We start from the raw sequence: 25,161 nt of genomic DNA on the forward strand, positions 1-25,161 counted from the left end.
CACCATCTTGGCTCACTGCAAGCTCCACCTCCCAGGTTCACGCCATTCTCCTGCCTCAGCCTCCCGAGTAGCTGGGACTACAGGCGCCCACCACCACGCCTGGCTAATTTTTTCTATTTTTTAGGAGAGACAGGGTTTCACCGTGTTAGCCAGGATGGTCACGATCTCCTGACCTCGTGATCCACCTGCCTCGGCCTCCCAAAGTGCTGGATTACAGGCATGAGCCACCGCGCCCGGCTGGTCTGTATAGCCTTGGATGAGTACTGCCCACATCATAATCAGCTGGAGAGCATGGGTCAATAGGGAGAAATTGTTTACTGCAATGGCTAACCTTCCCTCCTGCATAATTTTGGAATTTGGGGACTGGGGACCATAAGTTTGGTAAGGTACACATATACTTGCTATTTATGCACAGCACACAAAACGGGTATGAATTTATTTTAAACACCGAATTATATTTTCAATGTCTTAGAGGAACTGGTTATTTGAAGAAAGCCTGTGAAGACTAGTCTTCTTTGAAAGAAAAGATCCTTTTGTAAGGATTTATGTTCTTAATTTAGTTTTTACCAAATGGACCCTTTTAGAGAAAGAAGCATCAGGATAAAGTCCCAATCTTCAGTGGTTTGTGGAAGAGAGAATCTGATGATTCATGCCCTCCTACCCTGTTAGAATTAGGACAGGGAATGGCAGACCCTAAACATACATGTGAACTGAGCAAAGATTGCCTTTGCTTCACCTATTGACACATTTAAGAACCTCGTTTTATAGAGAGTACGGAGTGGGGTCTGAGATTCTACATTTCTTACAAGTTCCTGGTTTATGCCAGTTCTGTTTGTCTGGTCACCACACTTCTGAATAGCAAGGTTTCAGAGGACTCTATGAAGTTTTTATTTCTCAAAAATTTGGCTTAGGTACATCTTTACATACAGTGGTGCTAGATATTATTCTTTCAGAACTTAACCATGCAACAATGCAGAAGAATACAAAAAATGCTTGCACACAGTAGTGTATTTTAATGGAACTATAAAAGCATTGAACTGATTCCTAACTTTACATATAAAGGATAATTAAACCAGCAGCCTAAAGCACCTTGCTCTACTGTTAATGGTACTTATGAGTTTATAACAGTAGCTTCCAACCTTGGCTATGCATTAGAAACAGCATTTTATAAATGATTAGTCCCACTGCGTCCCATTTCCACAGGATTCTGATTCAATTTACCTGGGCTGGGGCCTTGTCCTCTATATTTTTCAGAAGCTTTACAGGGGATTATGATGCATAATTGGGATTGAGAATCACTGATGTAGCATTCACAACTGTGTCTCATTTTATTCTTAATCCCATGAGGCCATGCAGAAGGAAGGAAATGATGCTCAAAGAAGAACCACCTGGTGTCAAGCAGATAGCTAGCGAATGGCAAAGCAGAACCTCAATCCCAGATTTCTTGACTCCAAAATATGTAGTCCAAACTGCCTGCCCTTGTCCCATTCCTTGAGCTCTATCATGAATTGGTTTTATCCTGAGAGTCAGATCACATTACAGGGTACTTGTTTCAGTGTCTCCATTTGTGAGCAAGTATATCACAATTCATTTCACTTTTGAGCAGTTTCTTACCCGAGGTAGAAATGCAATAACCATTTCTTGGTAGGTGGTGTAGGGGATAGACAGGTAAATATTAAGACACAGTTCATCATCCCCCACCTTGGCAAATTACGGACACAGCCCAGTAGGGAGTATAAGGGTTGTACACAGCTATCATGCGCTTGATCAGTGCATGTCTTCAAAGTGCACTTGTACCTCAGCAGAGAGCTAAGAAGCATGAAGGAAGTCTTCATGGAGGAGATGGCACTGGAGCTAAGTCTTCAGAGTCGGCATTTTGGCAGGTGGAGATTGGGAAACCAGAGGAACTTCACTAGATGCAAGGTCCTGTTGAAGATTCAAGGTAATGAGACACATAATTGAGAGGGAGTGACAGCATGGGGAATTTCTGAGTTTGGGCAGTAATGTGATCAGAACTGTACTCCAGGAAGAAGAGTAGAAGAAAGAACTGAGTGGAGAGAAGACTGGAGTAGGGGATACGTAGGAGGGTTTGTCCCTGGTTAGGATGAGATGATAGCAGGACCCAGAAGAGGTTGCAGTAAAACCAAGAGAGACAGCCGGGTGCGGTGGCTCACGCCTGTAATCCCAGCACATTGGGAGGCCAAGGCGGGTGGATCACCTGAGGTCAGGAGTTCGCGAGCAGCCTGGCCAACATGGTGAAACCCCGTCTATACTAAAAATACAAAAAGATAGCCAGACGTGGTGGCAGGCGCCTGTAATCCTAGCTACTTGGGAGGCTGAGGCAAGAGAATTGCTTGAACCCAGGAGGTGGACGTTGTAGTGAGCCAAGATCACACCATTGCACTCCAGCCTGGGTAACAAGAGTGAAACTCCGTCTCCAAACAAACAAACAAACAAACAAACCCACGAGGGAGATCAGTGTGAAGGGCATTGCCAAAGTGGAATCAGTAAGGCTTGGCAGTTGACCTTGTTTGTTGGAGAGAAGGGATAAGATTTTAAAGCTACATGTCTGAAAGAATGATGCTGCTGATTGAAATAAAGGAAGAAAGGATGCATTTCGGGCTCCAACCTGTCCTAGGAAGGCCTAGACCTCAAACACCATCACCTCCATGCATTTCCTCTTTGGCTACTATGTCTTTTCCCTGACTTCTGCCTCTCCAGCTCTCTGGGCTGCTGCTTCCACCTGTTCATCTGACTTAGACCCTCCCTGCTGGGTCCTTGTTCACCTACTCATTTGGTGCTTCGTCTGCCATCAGTACCTCCATTGCAGCTGGTGGGATGTCAGTCACCATCTCTTATATTTGCTTCCCACTAGAAAGATCAAGAGAAGTTATTTCTTTCCCTTGCGCTCCAATTTTTCTCTAGACAGTTGGTATCCACAATTTTAAAAAATGTTCCATGTTGTATAAACAAGCATTCGCTGAGAGGGGCTGTTAATACACATCGTGCCCCTTTTATAAAAATTCATGCATGGAATCCTACATTATTATGCATCAAAATCTCCAGAAATGTCTTAGGATTTTTGCAGGGAGAATATTAAATGCATTGTTTTGCTTTGTTTTGAAGAGACTAGATGTGCAGAGGAAGAGAGGTGGCATGGTGGGAGGGTACATTTGAGTTGTCAACAGTCTCTGCAGTGTCAGGTCAATTACATCAGCACTTGGACTGGACCAGGGAAAGGAATGATTCTGCTTCCTGGGAATGTCAGAAGGACCTGATGATTATATTTGGCAAAGCCAGGAGGAGTGGCTTTGAATGTCATTGCTAAGAATTACACTTTGAGTAGCATTTCTGGATGTCTGAGCTTTTCAAATGATACTTCTTTTCTGCTGTGGCTTTCCTTTCTGTTGGACTGGTTCCCAGAGGGTCCTCTTGTTTGTCCTTGCCCTCGCTTTTATATCAGTTCATGTTTTCTCTTCTGTCATCTTCCTTCCCAGCGCTGTTTCTCCACCCCCTCCTGCTGCACTCACAACAGCTTCCCCTCTCCTGTTTAGAGGTGGAAGCATGTAAGAATGCGTTTGAGGGGGATGCTTGCCAAAGGACAGCATATTCAACATCTGGTATCAACAAGGTAATGTTTAACCTTAGACTAGCCAAACTAGTGATGACCTGCTTCCATGCTGCATCTGCTGCTTTTTGTGTTGATGGGACTCAGAAATCATGAGAAAGGTCTTCAGTGATCCATGACTGCAACAAATTCTTTTCCTAATTGTGCCGTATATTATGCCCCTCAATACAACTTACTAATCTCTGCCTCAGTTTCTCCATCTGTGAAAGTGGTGTAATACTTATCTACCTCCCTTGAATGTTGTGAAGATTAGTATATGTTGGTAAAGCACTTTTAAAATAAAGAATGATATAAAGCATTGAATTGTTGTGTTTGGGATGTGGGTGCCCTCCTGTAGAGAGGCTGCCCTGTAGGGGAAGTATCCCAGGTGTACCATGGTTTAGGAACACCCAGTGTACAAAACTTCCATTACAAATACAAGAGTGTGATTGTTTCCTTTCTTTCTTTTTTAACTTCATCTCAGGCTCTACTTTCAGATTATTTTCTTTATGAAAAATTTCAACATGGCATTTCTTTAAATAGGCTTTTGGTGCATTTAATATGAGATTCAATTTATAGAAGTGATTTATGGAAGATTTAAAAGAACACATCTATTGAACCTCTATTACCCAATATAACTGTTGGGTTTGCAAGCTGATTATTAATCTAACAGTGAAGTTTATCATCATTAGGTGGAAAACTTGGTTTCTGCATTATCCAGATGTCCAGATTGTATATGAAAGTTCTCTCACTGTAAGTACTGATTGGAATGGACAGAATGTGATCTTGTTACTTCCGAATGAGAGGATCTGCAGTTCCACTTCTAAAATGCCCTTACAGCACAGCCAGTTTTGGGGGAAAAGACTAACCATGCATGCTCACTAAAGGGCTGACAGTCAGTCCATGAGATAGGGAAATGGAATATGGGTTCTCTTTCTTAGCTCCTGGTGACTGCTAAGAGATTTAAGTTGGCTCTGGTCTGTTTTCTTTTCTATGGGTTTTTTGGGGGGAAAATTCAAAATGCTGTTAAGAGATTTTTTTTTTTCTGGCTGGGTGCAGTGGCTCACACCTGTAATCCCAGCACTTTGGGAGGCTGAGGCGGGTGGATGTAATCCCAGCACTTTGGGAGGCTGAGGCGCGTGGATCACGAGGTCAGGAGTTGGAGACCAGCCTGGCCAACATAGTGAAACCCTGTCTCTACTAAAAATACAAAAATTAGCCAAGTATGGTGGCGCATGCCTGTAATCCCAGCTACTCAGGAGCCTGAGGAAGGAGAATCGCTTGAACCCGGGAGGCGGAGGTTGCAGTGAGCGGAGGTTGCAGTGAGCATAGATCACACCATTGCACTCCAGCCTGGGTAACAAGAGTGAGACACTGTCTCAAAAAAAAAAATTTGTTTTTTTTAAATCTAAAGACTACTTGCTATGGGGGAAATACTCTAAGTAGCAGTGGAAGGTAAGGCTCTAGTTCTTTTTCTGTCCCATCATCTGGTTCAGCTTCCAGCATAACCAAAAAGGAAATTCAGAGGCTGGTGCTGTGCATATAGATTTAGATTCTTAACTATGAGTCTCCAAAGAGTTTCTTGGAAGGGGCTGGTTGGTCTTCAACATTCTGTGGGACTGGAGGCAGTTGCCCCAGTCACTCAGGCATTGAGAAATCTGGGGTATGGCTGGGGCAAATGTCTCATGTGGTCACCTTTATTTCCAGGCTGAAGGGGCAGGAGCTATCCAGGGAACCTCTTCTCAGGACAGAAGTACAAAAGGGCAAGCGCAACTGTAGAAGAATATTTTATGATTCAGTGTTATATCTGCTAACATCTCCTTGGCCAAAGCATGAAGCTCTAAGTCAGGAGGAGGGAAGTAGACTCCTCCTAAGAAGGTGAGGAGAGGAGGAACAATAATCTAATCTACCACAGAATCACAAGTGGGAAGAAAACTAGGGGGATACCAAGGAGTTGAGATTATATTATAAATCAAGGAATGGGGAACCCAGGGAACAAATGCGTCCTCATTCCTCATTTTCTACTAAGACACTTCTTCATTACTGCTTTCCTTCCTCTAAATTTGTTTTTCATTTAGTGGGGGAGGCTTTAAAATGGTGATAATAATAGAAAACCCTTCATAGGGTTGTTGGATTAAATGAGTGACATATGTATTCAGAATACTGCCTGGCATATAATAAACATTATATATTTTAGCCATTATTATTTTTTTCAAGGTCATATGGCTTCTACATGGGGATGGAGAGATTTGAACCTAAGTGGTCTGGCTCCAGAGTTCATGCTTTTAAGAATGACAATACAGACCAGGGGTGGTGGCTCACGCCTGTAATCCTAGCACTTTGGGAAGCCAAGGCAGGTTGATCACTTGAGGTCAGGAGCTTGAGACGAGCCTGGCCATCATGGCGAAACCCTGTCTCTACTAAAAATACAAAAATTAGCTGGGTGTGGTGGTGTACTCCTACCTCAGGAGGCTGAGGTAGGAGAATGTCTTGAACCTGGGAGGCAGAGGTTTCAGTGATCCTAGATCGTGCCACTGCACTCCAGCCTGGGAGGCAGAGGTTTCAGTGATCCTAGATCGTGCCACTGCACTCCAGCCTGTGCGACAGAGCAAGACTCCATCTCAAAAAAAAAAAAAAAAAAAAAGAAAAGAATGACAATACACCTGGGTGCGGTGGCTCATCCCTGTAATCCCAGCACTTGGGAAGGCGAAGGTGGGAGGATCACTTGAGCCCAATAGTTCGAGGCCAGTCTGGGTAACATTGTGAGATTCTGTCTTCAAAAAAAAAATTTAAAAATATTAATAAAAAAGAATTATAATACACAGCCTTTGTATTCAGCATCTGACTTCAAATCTTAGCTTTGCAAAGATGTGACCTCCTGAGTAAAGACCATCATCAGCAAAATACCTACTTTCTCATGATTGCTATGATCTCATGAGAATACAAATTTGGAAGAGCCTTGAAAATCGTAAACTCAAACCCCACAAAATTCCACAAAAACAAACCCCCAAAACCTCTAACCCTCTATTCTGATCTTTTGTGTTACAAGAGTCTAAGACTATCTCTTCTCCCATCACAAAGCCTCATCTTCAGTTGCCTTCCAGCCTCCTTACTCTGACACTCCTTGAACACAATCATTAGTCTCTCAGTTTCAGAGCCAGACTCTGTGAAATTTCTTCTGTTGATCCCTCTACCTGGAGTTCTCTTAGCTTCTCTGCAATCCCTTCCCATCACCTATGCTGCTGAAATGTTAGCCGTTCTTCAAGGTCAAGTGAACAACAGGACATAATCCTAGAATCTGGGCTCTGGTTCCAGTGTTGTGGGCAAGTTACTAGGTCTCTCTGGATACTAATTTCTTTGTTTGTGAGATAAGGGTGTTGGAGAAGAGGATCTCTAAATTCATGTTCTAATTAGTCTAATTCTGAAATTAAACTAACTTTTTCAATTTACTGCATGTAACCCAAGTTATCAATTTTACCTTCTCCTTAACAGATAATGTGTACATAAATGGAATTCAAATACTACATGCAGGTGGATCAGCCCCCAAGGTTGAAAGCACCATTCATGAATGTTATTGATTATTGTATTATACTTAAGCTGTTTATAAATGCAATCTAAATATAGGTAATAGAAGAATTTCTCTACAATGGGAACAAAAAGGTTGTTGCTGCTCCAAATGTAATTTTCCCAACAAAATGTAATTGCTGTTTATTTCAAACTGCCCAGTTCTATAGATTATAGACCACTTCTATTTTATAAATTTCCCCATTCTAAGGCAATCATGTGCCCAGAATATGTAGATTTTTGTATGTCCTTTAAAAATTCTAATCAATTGATTATGGTAGATGATTTCTATTGTAAAACAAGGGCTATGTGAAAAACTACTTCAAGTGGAAGGAAGTCAGCATTTATTGAACACCTTCTGGGGGGCTTTAGGCATATTTATGTATTATTTCATTTAATTCCATAAATAGTCTGCAGATGTAAGTAATAATATTCATATTTTATAGAGGAGGAAGTGAAGCCTGGAGAGGTTAAAGTGACTCGTTCAAAATTATATACCAAAAGTTCTGGAAATGGATAGTGGTGATGGTTGCACAATAATGTGAATGTACTTAATGCCACTGAATTGTACACTTAAAAGTGGTTAAAATGGTAAATTTTGTGTTATGTTTCACCACAAGAAAGAAAAGGAAATCACATAGCTAGTAAATAGCTTAACTAGATTTAGATTCCAAGTCAGTAGGCTTTGATTGGTCTGTTTATGACATGGGAGAAATTCAGCACGCTGATTGGGTGGTTATGTTCATCAAAGATCTGCCAGGAGACTGAGGAGCCTGAAGCAAAAAAAGCAGAGAGAAGAGCTAAGTGAGGTTTTAAGTGTCAGCAACCAGCTTAAGATGGCAACCCCAATTCTGTCTGATAGCAAGCTGAGAACCAGTGACCAAGGCAAAAAAGAGATCATCAATCAGGTTTGCCATTTAGATTAGTGTTTCTGCAATGTTAGTATGCATATAAATCACCTGGATATCTCATTAAAATGCAGATTTTGATTTAGTAAATCTGTGATGGGGTGAATTTTGCATTCCTAACAAGCTCCCAGGTGATGGTGATATTGTTGGCCATGGACTAACTGATGTATAGCAAGAATTTAGATCACTCTAACCTCCTCCAAGGCAGTTGTCTAAATGTGGCTTTCAGATCACTTGCACCAGAGAATCTGGGGTGCTTTCACAGAGCAAATTCCGGGCCCCATCCTGGACCTACTGAATCGGGATCTCTGAGGTGGGATTGGAATGTACACTTGTAACAAGCTGCCCATTTGCTTGTTACGTATATGATGTTTGAGAACCACTGCTAATAGGACATCAACATGTCATCATAATTATAAACCCCTTCACTTGCGTACCCATTTCCAGTTTATAAATCCTTTTCACATCCTGTTTTTCCTGTACCTGTACAGCAGGCTGATGAAGCTGATACCATTAGCCCTGCTCTGCAAATGAGGAGAATGACATCTCTAGTCTTAAGTGCTAGACTCAAAGGGTTTCTGACTCCCAGGAAAGCATTCTTATTATTTTGTGGCTTGCTTTACCACTTTACCATATCTTTACTTATACTCCTACACAAATTAGAAGTTCTTTTATGTCTAAAAAGTTTTGCAGAGCAATTTTCTTGCTATGATGCTTTTAAAGATTTCAATCTAATTTAGCACATCAAGCAGCACAGTTTATGCTTATAAGCATAAAGTTATCCAAGGTCATGGCAAAGAAAAGTTTGGTGAAGTAATTAAGAAATAGTTTGCACTGAGGTTTTTTTTTTTAAATATTTTTAAAACCCTTTACCTACATTTATCAATTGTTAATAGTTCGTTTTCCTCTCTTTTAACCATTTGAAAGGAAGTTACAGACATCATGACACTTCATCCCTAAATATTTCAGCATGTATCTACCAAAAATAAGAAAATTCTCTTAGATTACTATAATCCCATCATCACACCTAAGACAATTAACATTAATTCAGTATCGTCTAATAGTCTATGCTCAAATTTCTGCAGTTATCTTAATATCTTTTATTGCTGTTTATTTTTTCGGATCCGATTAAGGTTTACTGCATTTGGTTGTTTTGTCTGTTTAGTCTAAATAATCTAGAACGAACCTCTCTCCTTATCTTTTGTTTTTCATGACATTAAATTTATTTTCAAGTCCAGGACTTGTAAAGTACCCTCACATTCTGAATTTATTTGGGTACTTCCTCGTGATTAGATTCAGGTTCAACCTTGTCAGCAAGGGTATCATGCAGATATATGTCACGAACCTCTGATTGCATCATTTTAGGAGGCACATAATGGCAAATTGTCCCTAAATTTGATCACCTGGTGGAGTCGGTAGCAGTCAGATCTCTCCATTATAAAGTTACTTTCTTTCTTTTTCTTTTTTTTTTTTAAATAACCTGTTTTAATTATATTTCATTCATTTCAAACACAAGGTTATGGATTTGAAACACCCCCTGTTCTTTGTTGTTGTTGTTGTTGTTTTGAGACGGAGTCCCACTTTGTCGCCCAGGCTGGAGTGCAGTGGCGCGATCTCGGCTCACTGCAACCTCTGCCTCCTGGGTTCAAGCGATTCTCCTGCCTCAGCCTCCCGAGTAGCTGGGATTACAGGCCTGCGCCACCATGCCCGGCTAATTTTTGTATTTTTAGTAGAGACAGGGTTTCACCATGTCAGCCAGGCTGATCTCAAACTCCTGACCTCAAGTAATCTGCCTGCCTCGGCCTCCCAAAGTGCTGGGATTACAGGCGTGAGCCACTGCTCCTGGCCAAAGTTACTTTCACTCATAGCTAATAAGTTGTCTGTAGGGTGATGCTTTAAGACCATGAATATTGTCTCCTTGTAACCTTTCACCCAACGGTTTTGGCATACATTGATGATCCTTATCTGATTCCATTATCTTGTTGAAGATTGCAAAGTGGTGATTAACTCAGTCTTGACCATTTGTCAGCATTCATATGGAAAGAAGGTATGTTGGGTTTGAGAAAATCTGAATTTAGGTTACCTCAAGTCATGCTGGCTACTCAGAAAGCAAAGGCTCCACTTCGCCACATGTTTTTTAAGAGATTGTCTCCCTTAGAACTCCTTTGCTGGGGTGGGGAGGAGAGGGGATAGTTTTTCCCTGTGCCAAGAAACACCCACCAGAGAGAAAACTTCCTTCCTCCTCCTAAGCATCACAGCTTTAGGTTGTTGCCTCTCTGGTGTCTGCCTCTGGTGCTATCCATCTCTCCTAAGCTCTGCTGGGAGAACATAGAAGCTGTGATCCGGGAATTTCCTCAATAACTCAAAATCCTAACTACAAACCACCTGCAACAGCCCCCATTCTTTCTACCTTCCTTCTTGTTACAAAGAAGAAAGTGTCTTCTTTTAATAGCCATTTCTTCTATCTGTGCTCTGAATGCCACTCCTTCCTATTTTCTCAAGAATCTCAGGCAGGGCTCACGCCTGTAATCCTAGCACTTTGGGAGGCTGAGGCGGGTGGATCATGAGGTCAGGAATTCGAAACCAGCCTGGCCAACATGGTGAAACCCCTTTCTACTAAAGATACAAAAGTTAGCTGGGCGTGGTGGCGGGCGCCTGTAATCCCAGTTATTCTGGAGGCTGAGGCAAAATAATCATTTGAACCTGGGAGGCAGAGATTGCAGTGAGCCAAGATCGTGCCATTGCACTCCAGCCTGGGTGACAGGGCGAGACTCTGTCTCAAAGAAAAAGTCTTATGCGACTGATTATCCTTTCTCCTGTGTTGTTATGTTCAAGTCTCCTCTTGCCCCCTTAATGGATTTTTATCATAATCATTTAAATATTTTATAGTCTTATCTTAAAAAGTACTTTCTTTACCCACAGTCACCTTTAGCTTTCTCTTCTTCCCTTAACAGCTGAGCTGTCTAAACATTCTGTCTCTACTTCCTACTTCTTTTTTTTTTTTGAGACGGAGTTTCCCTCTTGTTGCCCAGCCTGGAGTGCAGTGGTATGATCCCGGCTCACTGCAACTTCTACCTCCTGGGTTCAAGCGATTCTCCTGCCTCAGCCTCCCAAATAGCTGGGATTACAGGTGCCCGCCACCATGCCCAGCTAATTTTTGTATTTTTAGTAGAGATGAGGTTTCACCATGTTGGCCAGGCTAGTCTCAAACTCCTGACCTCAAGTGATTCATCTGCCTTGGCTTCCCAAAGTGCTGGGATTACAGGTGTGAGCCACTGCGCCCGGCCTCTACTTCCTACTTATTACTAAGTTTCAATAAACTCTTTTCTGGATTCTGCTCCTACCACTTTACCAAATGGCTTTACTAAGATCACTGATGACTTATAAGTGACTGTATCCATTGGACTCATTTTGCTTTACCTATCAGCAGCATTTGACCAGTTGACCATGTCCTGCTTTTTGAGACACTTTTGCTTCTTGGTCACTATGACAGTGCTCTTTCCTGGGTTCCTTCTGAATTTCCTGACAGTTCTGTCACAGTTAGTTACTTCTATCAGTGTTCCTCAGCTTCAGCCTAGTCCTCTTCTTTCATTTTATAAAATCTCATTAAATCATCACACTCACTTTCATGACTTCAATTAATTTACCTTCTGATGCCTTCCACCTTTATATGCCAAGTATAAATCTCTCTTCTGAGCACCAGGCTTATAAATTCAACTGCTACTGGACACCTCCATCCAGATGCCTCACTGGCCCTTCAAATTCAGTGTGCCTAAAACTAACTAAACTCATCATTTTCTCTCCAAACCTGCTTTTTGTCCAGAGTTTCCATTTTAGTAAACGCCACTGAATTTGGAATTAACCCTTGCTTGACATTTTTTCTTCCTCATCTCCCACATCTAGTCAGTTACCAAGTTCTGCTGATTTTACTTCCTAAATTCAATTAATTTACTTGTCTCCATCTTCCCTAGTCCGAGCCACCATCCTCACTCACGTGGACCATGTTGATAGCCCCCTCATGGTTTCCCTGCATATATTTTGCCTTTCCAATCCATTATGCACACTGCAACCCAAATGATTTGTAACAGCTTTGATAAGATGTAATTAACATAACTTACAGTTCACCCATTTAACCAAGTGACCTTTTACAAACACAAATCTGAGCAGGTTATTCCCTGCTTATAATTTTGAAATCAAGTCTGAATCCTTATTCTAGCTTATTTTATTAAATTAATTTATTTATTTTTTTGAGACAGAGTTTTGCTCTGTTGCCCAGGCTGGAGTGCAGTGATGTGATCTTGGCTCACTGCAACCTCCACCTCCCGGGTTCAAGTGATTCTCCTGCCTCAGCCTCCCGAGTAGCTGGGATTACAGGTGCATGCCACCACGCCCGGCTAATTTTTTTGTATTTTTAGTAGAGACAGGGTTTCACTGTGTTAGCCAGAATGGTCTCAATCTCTTGTGATCTGCCCGCCTCGGCCTCCCGAAGTACTGGGATTACAGGCATGAGCCACCGCACCCTACCCTTTATTCTAGCTTAAAAAGTCCACATCATCTGCCCCTTGCTTCCTAAAGTCCCCAACTTCATTCTCTGTCATTCACTCTCCAGACTTCATCCACGGTTGCCTTTTCTCTATTTCTTGAACTTGCCATACCCTTTATTCCATTTTTACACGTTGATTTTTTTTCATAGACTACTGTTCCCTCTCTACCCCTTTCTAACTCATCAGTCTTCCCGCCTCAGCTTAAATATCACTACTTCCAGGAAGCTTTCCTTGATACCCCCACTGCCTGCTGTGGTAGGAGTCTGATACATTCACAATCATTCGCAAAAGGCTTTACATTTAAAGTTTGACTTCTCTGTTAGACTACAGGACAGGGATGGTGTTTATCTTGTTCACCTTTGCATCCTCACTGCCTAACATGGTTGCTTAGGAGATAATGGGCAATCTCTAAATATTGTTGGATGAATGCTGGGTGAATGGGGGTATTGTTACCAAGATTCATGTCCTGCCCTGACCCCTGTTCTCATCGTTGTTGAAGTCACCACTACCAAAGCTGCCTTATGTATTATTACTATTGTTCTGTGCTGAGAGAAATAGCTTCAGAATGCAGTCTTGCTGTTTTACTTTTACATCTCCCTCAATTAGGAAACTAGACTAAGGACTGAATCCAATAATATTGACCCTTATGCTGAACCCCCAGGCCATTAGACTTTAGGGAATAATTTTTAACTGGGACGAAGGGAGAATAATTAAAAGTCTGTTGATTCAAGTTCACATGTACATATACAGATGAGTTGATAAATACAGTAATGGATGCATGGATACACACATGTAAATGTGCATGTACAAACACAGGGCCCAGCTGTCATACTCCAATATGCATGCATACACACACTCACAGAGGCAACCTGATATATACTCACTCCTTACATATGTACACAGAGTAAAATGACATATGCTTGGCACTTATGCATATGTACAGAGGCAAGCTGATACACTCATTACATATGTACACACAGGCAAATGACATATGGTCAATACATATGTATACATACAGAGGAAAGCTGACATACTTAAACACACACAGTGGTAAAATGTAATTATTTAGTTCCATTTGACTCACTGTAATTCCTCCAGGTACCTAGCTCCTTGCTTTATCTCTCTTTCATGATTCTTGGCTCAGTGGATGCCATTCTCAAGTTCCCAGCCTCTTGGCTGAAACATCTTGTCCTTCCTTTTGACCCACCTGGCTTTTTGTCAGAACTTTTCCTCCCAGCAGCTTAGCTACCTCTGCCAATTACCAGGCTGCTGTCCTGCAGGCCTCTCTAGTACCCAGCCAGCCCAGATGAGCTCTTTTCACTGTTGACTTTAACCTTCTGGGTTTTGACTCAAAGTATAGGCTTTGGATTCAAAGTATAGGCTTTGGAGCTAGACAGACCTGGCCCCAGCCTTGTTGCCCATTAACTGAGTAACCTTGGGCAAATTACCTAACCTCACCAAACCTCAGCTTTCTCATCTATACAATTAAGATAATAGTAGTACCTTCTCAGGCCAGGCATAGTGGCTTACACCTGTAATCCTAGCACTCTGGAAGGCTGAGATGGGAGGATCACTTGAGGCGAAGTGTTCAAAACCAGCCTGGGCAACATAGTGAGACCCTCATCTCTTAAAAAAAAAATAAAAAAATCAGCCAGGCATGATGGTGCACACCTATAGTCATAGCTATTCAAGAGGCTGAGGGTGGAGGATTGCTTGAGCCCAGGGTTCAAGGTTACAGTGAGCTATGATCGCATCACTGCACTCTAGCCCAAGTGACAGAGTGTGACCCTGTCTCTAAAAAAATAAAAAACAAAAAACAAAAAAACACAAAAAGACTAGGTTTTTGGTTGTATTAGATAATACATGTGGAGCTCTTAGTCTGGTATATAAGTACAGTTAATGACAACTGCCACTAACAGTAACTAACATTTATCACGTGGTTACTATGTGACTCCTACTTCTAGTTAATGATTTACTGAGTACTTATGATGTAATAAGCATGGTTCTAAGCACTTCACATCTATGAACCCATTTTATTCTTACAACAACCTTATGAAGCAGATAAAAATTTTATCTCTGTGTTACAGATTATCAAACTGAGGCCCCAAGAAGTTAAATAATTTGGCCAAGGTCATATTGCTAACAAACAGTAGAGCTAAGATGCAAACCCAGATGGTTTGGTTCCAGAGCCTACACTCTTAATTACTATGCTATACCTCCTACTTCCATTTACATGTGATTGTCTTTCTCAGAGAAGCTATTTCTTTGGTACACTCCTTTATGAACTAAAACCCTTGGAGAAATTTTTGGATTGCGGCTGAAAATTTCCATTTGCCGAAAGATCAAGAAAAATCTTACTTCTGTATTCAGAGCAATGCTGAACAACTGAATGACAAGAAGACCTGCAGTAAAAACCCAGAGATGCCTCCTCAGTTTCTCTACCCACTCACAGGGACTGTTTGGGTGAGAAGTGACAATTATAGTGATGAAGCCTGTTCTCCTTCAGGCAGAGTTAGGATATCTTTCTGCATTCCCATAGCACTTTTATTCTGTAACCCTTGCCTTCTTGGCTTCTACCTTGTCTATGTAACTGAGGACCATTCAGGGGAAGTGGATAAGAATAACAGTGATTCCAACTGAAGTCCCCACCAATGTCATCACAAGAATCTCTGAATATAATCACAAGAAACCCAGTGAAATCTCCTGACACTCTTGCAAGATGGTCAGGATGGCTTGTGAAGATTCTGGTGCCTGCAGTCTTGATAATGCCAATTTTTTGCTTCATCATGTGTCAGATGATGATGCTTCTCCATCTTCTCCTGCTAGTGATGTGGTGAGGCTTTACAGTCAGAATGAACCTGGTGACTCCAACTTCTTCACCTTGTGGCCTTGGGTACTTGACCTGATGCTTTGTTTTTTCATCTATAAAATGGAAATAATACTTACCAAAAAGGTGGGCGGGAAGATTAATGACAACAAATGCGAAGTGCCTGGGACATAGGCATACCTGGGCCATAGCAGGTCCTTGGTGTATTATTATCATGGCTCAACCCAAAAATTATTCTCTCCCACTGACATTATTATTATTATTATCAGGTCTCCCCTATTAGACCGTAAGCTCTGTGAGAATCAGAGACTTTGTTTTGTTCACTGCTGTTTCTCTTTATCTAGGACAGTGCCTAGATCATAGTGGGTGCTCAGTAAATATTTGTTGAATCAATAAATGAAGTCCTAAATAAGTTGACCTTTTTTTTTTTTTTTTTTTTGGAGATGGAGTTTCGCTCTTGTTGCCCAGGCTGGAGTGCAGTGGCGCAGTCTTGGCTCACTGCAACCTCTGCCTCTCGGGTACAAGCGATTCTCCTGCCTCAGCCTCCCGAGTAGCTGGGATTACAGGCGCCTGCCACCATGCCTGGCTAATTTTTTGTAATTTTAGTAGAGATGGGGTTTCACCACGTTGGCCAGGCTGGTCTCGAACTCCTGACCTGAAGTGATCCGCCCACCTCGGCCTCCCAAAGTGCTGGGATTACAGGCGTGAGCCACCGTGCCTGGCCGACCTTGTTTTTTTAGGTTCTTACTAAACTGGCTGGCATTCAGATGCTCTTACTCTCAGGGGAGTGTTCCCTCTGCCTGGAGCACTCCCTCTTCACCTGGTTAACTTCTACTCCTCCTTCTGATCTTAGCACAAGCATCACTCCTTTAGGGAAACCTCTCTGACCTTCTCTTTCATAGCATTTGTTAACAATATTGCAATTTTAATTTTATTTGTATAACTGTTTGATTAATATTTGACTGTAAACTTCCTAAGGACAGGGACCAGGTCTGCTGTACTTACCATTGTATATTCCCAGGCACTAGGAGTAGACCTTCAGCACAAATTTGTTGAATGAATAAATAACATCAATTTTACAAAGACCCCCCTATCTAGAAATTGGGGTCCAGTTTCACAAATTGGATCAGAGATTAACCCCAGGCTTTGCCAGTGCTGCACCATAAATCATTGCTTTCCCCTGTTTCTGGGTCAAGCACTGTGACTCTCTCCTACTGGGGCCAATTTGTCAGTCCCAAAGTGTCTCATTACTGTTTATCAGGACGTCATTATGCAGCTGGACCCTCCAGCAGGAGGTCTAGGAAAGCCAGGATATTGGCAGGGCTGGGAGTATGGGATGGGATTTGCCATTTACATCTACCCCACCCTCACTCCATTTATATTTAGTATTTATCACACTGAGTTGTAGTTGTTAATTTTCAAGTGTCTCCTTCTCTCCCACACAGTGAGGGCAGGATCTCTTGCCCACAGAGGCTACTCTGGTGTGCAGCAAATGCTCATAAGGGTTTCTTGAAGGAATGCAATGTTTTCCATGAGTGAAGCTTAATTGAGAACAGAAATCAACTCATAAGAGAGGGCACTACCTCTGGCATTTTTTTTTTTTTAAACCTGAGCCAATAAATCCCTTTTTGTTTACCTTAACTTGGATTGGGGTTTTCTGTTACTTGGAACTGAAAACATTCTGGTAGAGCATAACTAATGATGTTCAATATAAGATCTCTGATAGATTTTTGTTTTAAAATATTCACTTCCTATTTACTCCCTCTCACTTACCTCCATAAGGAGAATAAACTTCCCTATCCCTTGTCTTTGAGCTCGGCTATAGGACTGATCTTAGCCAGTGAGATTTTAGCAGACATATACAAGCAGTGTGTAAAAAGTGCTAGCACAGTTGGGTGTGCCCCCTTGTACCACTGCCATCTCCGTGACAAGAGTTCTTCCTGGGTCCCATCCCCAGAATGAATACTAGAATAATGAACCAGAGCTCAACCAGCACATAGGAGCCAAACCCAGCTGAACCTGTATCTTGAAGCAAAGCCATCCACCCAAGCCTAGCCTAGATCAACCAGCCAACCCCCAGTCAACCTCTAAACCTATGAGAAATGAATGCTCCTTGTGGCATGCTGCTGAGATTTTATGGTGGTTTGTTAGGGAGCAATAGCTGACTGATCAGGTTCAGGGTTTTCCATACTTGACAGTGCATCTGAATTATCTAGACAACTTTAAAATAAATAAGAGATACTTGGGCATCACCTAGAATGTTTGGAGTACTGTTCAGAAATCTACATCCTGTAAAAATTCACTGGGTGGTATTTAGGTAGTGAGTCCCACAGCCTTTTGCTATCTGATATTTTGGGGTCACCAGTATTAAGGCATGTCATGGGTGTTACATTAATTCACTTCTAACAACCTTTTCCCTCTCTGAGATTATATGATCAAAGTCAGACAAATTCTGTTTCTGAAGCAGAGTTCTTTTCAAGAAATCTGTATTGAATTTGTTTTAGCTGATTTGGGGAAAGATGCAGATGTAAATTAATTTGTGACTTATGGCCCCAGGATTTTTTTTTTTACTTGCTCTGTTGCCCAGTGCCCAGGTGGTACAGTGGCATGATCATAGCTCACTTGTAACCTTGAACTCCTGGGTGCAAGTGATCCTCTCACCTCAGCCTCCTGAATATCTAAGACTACAGGTGCACACCACCACACTGGCTAATTAAATTTTTTTTTTTTTTTTTTTGTAGAGACAAGGTCTCACTATGTTGTTCAGTCTGGTCTCGAAGTCCTGGCTTCAAGCAATCCTCCTGCCTCGGCCTCAGAAAGTGCTGAGATTACAAATGTGAGCCACCCACTCCCTCCGATTTTTTGCTTTTTATTTAATGGTTGACTTCTCTTAGTATTTCTGCCTGGGCTATGGTGAGCAGTGAAATGAAAATTCAAGGCAGAATACTGGGGCTTGGAGAGCCAAGACACAGGTCAGGAATGAAGCATGGAAGAGGTCAACCTTAGCAGAGAAGCTGCTGAAGGTCTGAGAAAAAGCCTTAGCTGTGGCTTAGCAGTTAGGAACCTGAGATCCCACAATATTCAGAAAAGCCAGAAGTTCAATTTTAGTTCTAACATTTGGCATGCCACTAACAGTTTAGACGTGTGAGGCGAGTCTTAATAAAATGTTAAAAAATGTGAATTTATTTGTATAAAAAGTATAATGAAAGTACTATTTAAAATAGTTTTTTTTTTCTTTGAGACAGAGTCTTGTGATCATGCCTGGGTGACGAAGTGAGACCCTGTTAGAAAAAAAAAAAGATAAAAATTCAGATCACAGAGAAAAATATAAAGAACAGGTAATTATAGGTAATTATTACTCATAAGCTGGTCTTTCAGACATAACCACTGTTAATATATTGCTGTATAGTGTTCTTCACTTTTTTCTCCTAGGGATGTGTACACATTATATATATTCTAGAAAAATAGGGTTTTCCTATTACTCATCAGTATCCTGCTTTTTCCATGTCAGTAAACGCTAACCTAATTATCATCATTGTTAAAGCTGCATAATACTCCATTGTACTAAGAGGTACCGTACTTTAGTCCCCACTGATGGACATTTAAGTTATAAAGGCTGTGATGAACATCCTAATGTATACATTTTTGTGTGCTTATCCAGTTATCCTTTAGATAAATTCCAATAAATGGAATTGCTAAAGAGTAAACATATTTTAAAGGTTTTTTGATACATAGTCAAATTGCCCTCCTAAAATGTATAAATTAGTAGTGCTCAGTCTGCCAATTCTTTTAACTCTTGTTAATCATCCAAAGGGAAAATAATTGTGTGTGCGTGTGTGTGTGTGATGGAGTTTCGCTCTTGTTGCCCAAGCTGGAGTGAAATAGTGCAATCTCTGCTCACTGCAACCTCTACCTCCCGGGTTCAAGCGATTCTCCTGCCTCAGCCTCCTAAGTAGCTGGGATTATAGGCGTTACAGGTGCGCGCCACCATGCCTGGCTAATTTTTTCTATTTTTAGTAGAAACGGGGTTTCACCATGTTAGCCAGGTTGGTTTCGAACTCCTGCCCTCAGGTGATCCGCCCACCTCGGCCTCTAAAAGTGCTGGGATTACAGGTGTGAGCCACTGCCCCTGGCCAGAGTTTTGTGGTTTTAATCTTTTATTACTAGTGGGTTCAAATCTGTTTTCATGTATTTATTGTCTGTACTTTTTGTGAATAAGAGTCAAGCTTCCTATTTTTCTATTATGTTAACTTTTTCTTCTTGACATATAACTTTATATTAAGTATATTGTCTCATATTTGCACTGAAGACATTTTTCCTAATGTGGCTTTGCTTGCGGTGGCTTTTCACACATTTCTTAATTTTATGAATCAAATTGATCAGTTTTTCAATGAGACTTAAAATTCCTTCTGGGGTGGGATGCAATATAATAGAATGAAAAAGGCAGAGGACTTTCACACAATTCAGTCCATGATCTTAGTACCTATGTCTAGTTATCACCTAGCAGGATGTGGTAGGAAGAGCACTGGACTGGGAGTCAGATCACCTTGCCTCTCTGGGTCCCTACTTCCTCATCTGTAGAATGGAGATAAGAACGAAAACTCCCTCCGAGGCCTGTAAAAAAATAATTGAAGAGAATGCACATAAAGAGCTTTCACCAGGCCTTGTATATTAGAAAATCCTCTCTGAATCTCAGCTTTTGTTAGGGGGAGAGGGCAACACAGACTTTTGTAAAACTATTTTCACTCACTTGTATGTGAGTCTACGGGAATGAGGTGGGGATGAGGAACCTAGAAATCTAACCATTCACCCAACATCTCTGAGAACTGCATGGCTAGAGTCAGAACTTGGGCTCCCATCCTGGTCCTGCCCATTTCTTGGTATGCAACCTTGGACAAGTCACCTTTACCTCTTCCGTGACTCAGTTTCTTCCACCTAAAAACTATTATAGATATATGACAGACCACCTGCCCTCATTCCCAGCCCTGCTGCTGGGCGAAGGAAACGCTTCAAAAACAGCTCACAAAGGGCGGCAAACAAGTCTGCTACGGTGCAGCCTACCGCCGAGGGGTGGCCCCAACCCCGGCCCCCGCGCCCCTGCCCTGTCGCAGGAACAATAGCTCCCCTGGAGGCGGCGCCGGCCGCGGCCGGGGGCGGAGCTGTCGGCGCGGGAGCTGGGGGTGTGCGCGGGGCGGGGTCGCAGCCACCCCTCCCGCCGGCGGCTCCGTCACGCGCCCCTCACCGGGCGGGCCGGGGTCTTTGTGACGCGGTGGCAACGGCCACGGACACAAAGGGAAGGCGAGGAGGCGAGCAAGAGGCTGGGCCTGCCTCCGGCCCGCGACCCCCGCCCGCCGCGCGCGCGCCCGCCCGCTCCCCTCGCCGCGGTGTCCCCCACGCCGGCTCGCACCCTCGCGCGCACCCTTGCGCGCCCGCGACCCTCGCACGCGCCCGGACCCGCCGACTCCGTCCCGAGCGCCGCGGGCCCGGGCCTGGCGGACGCTGCGGGTGGGGCGGGGATGCTGACGGGCTGCTCCCCGGCTCAGCGGCGCGGCTGCTAGGAGGCACCGAGGCAGCGGCGGGGCTCTGGGCGCGCGGCTGGATGCCCCCGGCCTGCGGCTCCCTGCGCTTCCCGCCGTCCAGGGGCACCAGTCATGGGCGCCGCAGCCGCTGAGGCGCCGCTCCGGCTGCCTGCCGCGCCTCCGCTCGCCTTCTGCTGCTACACGTCGGTGCTTCTGCTCTTCGCCTTCTCTCTGCCCGGGAGCCGCGCGTCCAACCAGCCCCCGGGTGGTGGCGGCGGCAGCGGCGGGGACTGTCCCGGCGGCAAAGGCAAGAGCATCAACTGCTCAGGTAGGACCGGTCGGAGCCGGCCCTAGGTCTTCCCACCCCTCCGTTGCCGCCTCCCTCGTGGTCCCTGCGGTCGGCCGGGCTGGGAAAGACCCCGTCGTGGGGGTCCCAGGGGTGGGCCCGAGGGTGAGCGAGGGCGGAGGGCAGGGCGCGAGCGTGCGGTGTGGCTTTGGGACCGGCGCTGGGGATGGGAGTGGCCGTGGGTGCGTCCGAGTGTGTCGAGTGGCTGGGCGAGGGCGGCCCGGCGTGTGGGGAGGCGGTGGGGCCGGGGCCGGGGCCGGCGAGGCTGAGCGGCCGGCCGGGGCTCCCGGTGTGGTCGTGGGTGTGCTCGCGGGAGCGTGTGTTTGTGTTGTGAAGGCTGAGGGGAGGGAGGGCGGCCCCAGGCAGGGATCTGTGTGTGTGTGTGCAGAGTGCGGTGGGTGGGAGACGGCGAGGGGGCTGGGCGGGGTGAGGGCAGGGGAGTGACCATGTGCTGATGTGCTGGGGAGATTCTTCCTTAAGGCACTGGGGGTCTCGGGGGTGGGGGTCGTGTGGATAAAGGGAACGGGTTGTCTTGAGGACGCGGTTTGGCGATGCAGAGTGACTGTGTGTGTGCGCGCGCGCGCGCGTGTGTGTTCTTTGGGTTCTGAGATGGGATCTGGGGGCTTAGAGTGACCTCGGGTCTGTGGATATGAGCGGGGAAAGTCCCAGGGCCCAGGAAGTGACCCTGTGTTTTTGTGTGTTGTGTGTGAAGCCTGGGGCTCAGTTAGTCACCCTGGGGTATGCATTGAAGAGGAGGGATGGGTGCCCTATAGCGAACCCCATTTATGTCTTTTCAAAGGGGAGGAGGCTTGGGAGTCATCATCCTGTGTAGGGTTTGGATGTAGAAAGAGGAAATTAGGTCTCAGGGAATGCCCTTGTGTAGCAAGGTGTAACCCTGGGTTATTAAAGTGTGGAAAGAGAGAATTGGGTCCCAGGGAAGATGTCGTGCCTGTGTGTGTGTGTTTTGCGGGAGGGCCTGGATTCTGGCAGCAGCGGGGAGCAAGGGAGTGACCTCTCCCCTCTCTCCAAGGCCGCTTGCCCCCCCACAGCTGTTGGAAACAAAGAGCTTGCTGAGGCTTTAGTGGATAACACTGGGGAGGAGGGTCCCAGCAGTAAAGTTCCTCTTCATTTCTAAAGGGGTCCCAGAGGCGCACAAGGATTATGGCCCTGGGGCAAAGACAGGCATTCAGGTCTCATTTTTTGAGTGGAGGGTCTTCTTGGAGCTGGCCTAGCAGATGCTAGTGATCATAAGCCACATCCTTGCTAACTTGCCCTTTTATCAATTCTGGAGCCTTCTCTTGTCTTCTTTAAACCAAGGCGGAGTAGGGGGAGGAGGGAGGAACATAAGGCCACTGGGAATCTGCCGGACAACCTTTATACTTTTGGGCTCTTGAAGGGGCATTATTTCTGGAAGAGTGAGGAAGGAGCAAGAGAGTCTCAGCGCAGATGCTTATGCTACCCTAAATGAAGCAAGCCTTTGGCCCGCTATTTAGGTTTGAAGGCCTTAAATCTTTTAATAATTTTCATATGGTAATGTTTTATGAGGGGAATGGCAGTTTTGAGCACAGTAAACAATGGCATGTCCATTAAAAGCATTTCCATCCGTGAAAAAACTTTTCTGTTATTTTTCTGATGTTGAACGGGATATGGGGTAATGCTTTATTACATAATCATACTTTAAGAATAAAAACCAGTTGTATATTAGAGTGCCTTTTTATGTAACAAATATTAATTATCAAACTTGTAAGTGATCGCACCATGTCAATATTTTTCCAGCTAATGTGTCGCGGGTATTTGTTCTTGCTAAGCTAATTCGTTCTTAGCAAAATATAGTGTGTCTTGATGGGATGTTTTTGTGTGTACTTTCTAACTTGCATAGTTCAAGTTTTAAGAAAGGAAATAAAAGAAATAGAGGGATGGATACCCTTGAGGATGTGGGTTGGTGATGCAGAGCGACTGTGTGTGTGTGTGTGTGTGTGTGTGTGTGTGTGTGTGTGTTCTTTGGGTTCTAAGATGGAATGTAGGGGCTTGGAGTGACCTCGGGTATGGGCAGGAAAGTCCCAGGGCCGGAGAAGTGAACCTGTGTTTTTGTGTGGTGTGTGTGCGTGTGAAGCCTGGGGCTCAGTTAGTCACCCTGGGGTACTATGCATTGAAGAGGAGGGGTGGGTGACATGCAGTGTGGGAAAAAGGGGACTGATCTAGGGGTCATGGTCCTTGTTAAGCAGCTGTGTAATTTGGGGCAAGTTACTTAATTTCTCTTAGTTTCCATTCCTTTTAAAAAAGAGACTTGGATTTAGTAATATCTGAGTCTTCTTTCAAGCGTATTCATCACTGATATAAATGTCAATAAATTAAGCTGATCAAATAAAATGTTTTCTAGCAGTAAGATATACTTGAATAACTGGGTCTAAAGCTAGAGTTTTAACTAAGTGATACTTGTAGATTCTTATTGTAACTTTTTAGGATGAAGATTTGGGAACGATTCATATGGAAAAAAAATTTTTTTAGTTGGTAAGTTTGAGAACCATGTTAATACAGTCTGGACACACACATCTGTTAATGCAGCTCGAAATTGTGCACAGTTTGTTTAGTAGCTTTTATTATCTAGGTATCCCCCCACAAACTGAAGTTTACTCTGTCATGTTTTTTTTTTTGAGATGGAGTCTCACTTTGTCACCCAGGCTAGAGTGCAGTGGCGCAATCCTGGCTGACTGCAACCTCTGGCTCCTGGGTTCAGGTGATTCTCCTGCCTCAGCCTCCGGAGTAGCTGGGACTACAGGCGCCCACCACCATGCCGGGCTAATTTGTATTTTTAGTAGGGATGGGGTTTCACAATGTTGGCCAGGCTGATCTTGAACTCCTGACCTCAGGTGATCCGCCTGCCTCGGCCTCCCAAAGTGTTGAGATTACAGGTGTGAGCCAATGTGCCTGGCCTATTTCGTTTTTTTTTTTTTTTGAGACGGAGTCTCACTCTGTCACCCAGGCTGGAGTGCAGTGGGGTGATCTCTGCTCACAGCAAGCTCCGCCTCCCGGGTTCGCGCCATTCTCCTGCCTCAGCCTCCCCAGTAGCTGGGACTACAGGCACCCGCCACCATGCCCGGCTAATTTTTTGTATTTTTAGTAGAGATGGGGTTTCATCGTGTTAGCCAGGATGGTCTCGATCTCCTGACCTCGTGATCTGCCAGCCTCGGCCTCCCAAAGTGCTGGGATTACAGGCGTGAGCCACCGCGCCCGGCCTATTTCAGTTTTAAAACTAAATACAGCCCTCGATTCCCTGTAGATATTCATTTTTGGTTTTGGACCATCATTTCAGCCTACTGTGAGCTTTCTGGAGCTGATTCGGTCAGGCTGTGCGTGTTGGGTCACTCACAGGTTTTTTTCACTTGCAAATATGAAGAGCAGTTCTATGGCTTCATTAAATTAATAGAAGTTGTCTAGATTGTGAAAAAGGATGGAACCCTGCGACATATTACTGGAGACTTTCTACCAACTTGGTTGATGTTGTTACGTTAGTCAACCAGATGTTCAACTAGCTATGCATCCTGTTAGTTGAATTTAACAGATTTTCGAGCTTCTGCTGTTCAACATTTTCCCATTTTGTTCACCAGCCTATTATTTAAAAGATTCTTTCAGATTGTCTTGTTAGATTGTTATGTGTATATATCATCCTGTCATCCTCCCTTTTTCCATTTTAGTAATCCTGTTAAATAAAAAGCACATGTTGTATAGCCTGCCTTAATAAAGAGCTGATGGTGGCTTTCTCATTTTACTGTATTCGAAAACTTATTTATCCATTTTAGAATTTTTCAGCAGTTACATAGCAGGTTTACCCACAGATGTTTTTCT

General features: G+C 43.9%; 2 protein-coding genes and 1 long non-coding RNA gene across 3 annotated transcripts in view, besides 4 other annotated features; 2 read left to right on the plus strand and 1 right to left on the minus strand.

The window, feature by feature from the left end:
• MSANTD3-TMEFF1 (MSANTD3-TMEFF1 readthrough) overlaps positions 1–25,161 on the plus strand; it is a 135,731-nt gene that overhangs the window by 10,538 nt on the left and 100,032 nt on the right. The window lies entirely within an intron of this gene.
• Positions 3,164–3,458: a silencer, noted in NCBI's record as "tiled region #7300; HepG2 Repressive non-DNase unmatched - State 23:Low, and K562 Repressive non-DNase unmatched - State 23:Low". NCBI's record gives its function as "represses a minimal TATA promoter and a strong SV40 promoter by Sharpr-MPRA in HepG2 and K562 cells {active_cell/tissue: HepG2 | K562}" and the evidence as "EXISTENCE:reporter gene assay evidence [ECO:0000049][PMID:27701403]".
• On the minus strand, positions 18,607–20,447 carry LOC124902237 (uncharacterized). The gene is made up of 3 exons (XR_007061702.1): positions 20,360–20,447; positions 19,934–20,064; positions 18,607–18,731 (listed from the first exon to the last, which is right to left on the minus strand). It is a non-coding gene; the product is annotated as an uncharacterized LOC124902237 (long non-coding RNA).
• Positions 20,522–20,681: a silencer, noted in NCBI's record as "silent region_20138". NCBI's record gives its function as "represses an Ori minimal core promoter by ATAC-STARR-seq in GM12878 lymphoblastoid cells {active_cell/tissue: GM12878}" and the evidence as "EXISTENCE:reporter gene assay evidence [ECO:0000049][PMID:35858748]".
• TMEFF1 (transmembrane protein with EGF like and two follistatin like domains 1) overlaps positions 20,706–25,161 on the plus strand; it is a 104,488-nt gene continuing 100,032 nt past the window's right edge. The window contains exon 1 of the mRNA NM_003692.5: positions 20,706–21,297. Coding sequence (NP_003683.2) covers positions 21,102–21,297 — 196 coding nt within the window. The 5' untranslated portion in view covers positions 20,706–21,101. The remainder of the gene's footprint in view (positions 21,298–25,161) is intronic.
• Positions 20,962–21,021: a silencer, noted in NCBI's record as "silent region_20139". NCBI's record gives its function as "represses an Ori minimal core promoter by ATAC-STARR-seq in GM12878 lymphoblastoid cells {active_cell/tissue: GM12878}" and the evidence as "EXISTENCE:reporter gene assay evidence [ECO:0000049][PMID:35858748]".
• Positions 21,332–21,491: a silencer, noted in NCBI's record as "silent region_20140". NCBI's record gives its function as "represses an Ori minimal core promoter by ATAC-STARR-seq in GM12878 lymphoblastoid cells {active_cell/tissue: GM12878}" and the evidence as "EXISTENCE:reporter gene assay evidence [ECO:0000049][PMID:35858748]".

The sequence above is a fragment of the Homo sapiens genome, chromosome 9 (genome assembly GCF_000001405.40).
Source record: "Homo sapiens chromosome 9, GRCh38.p14 Primary Assembly".
Taxonomy (NCBI): Eukaryota; Metazoa; Chordata; class Mammalia; order Primates; family Hominidae; genus Homo; species Homo sapiens.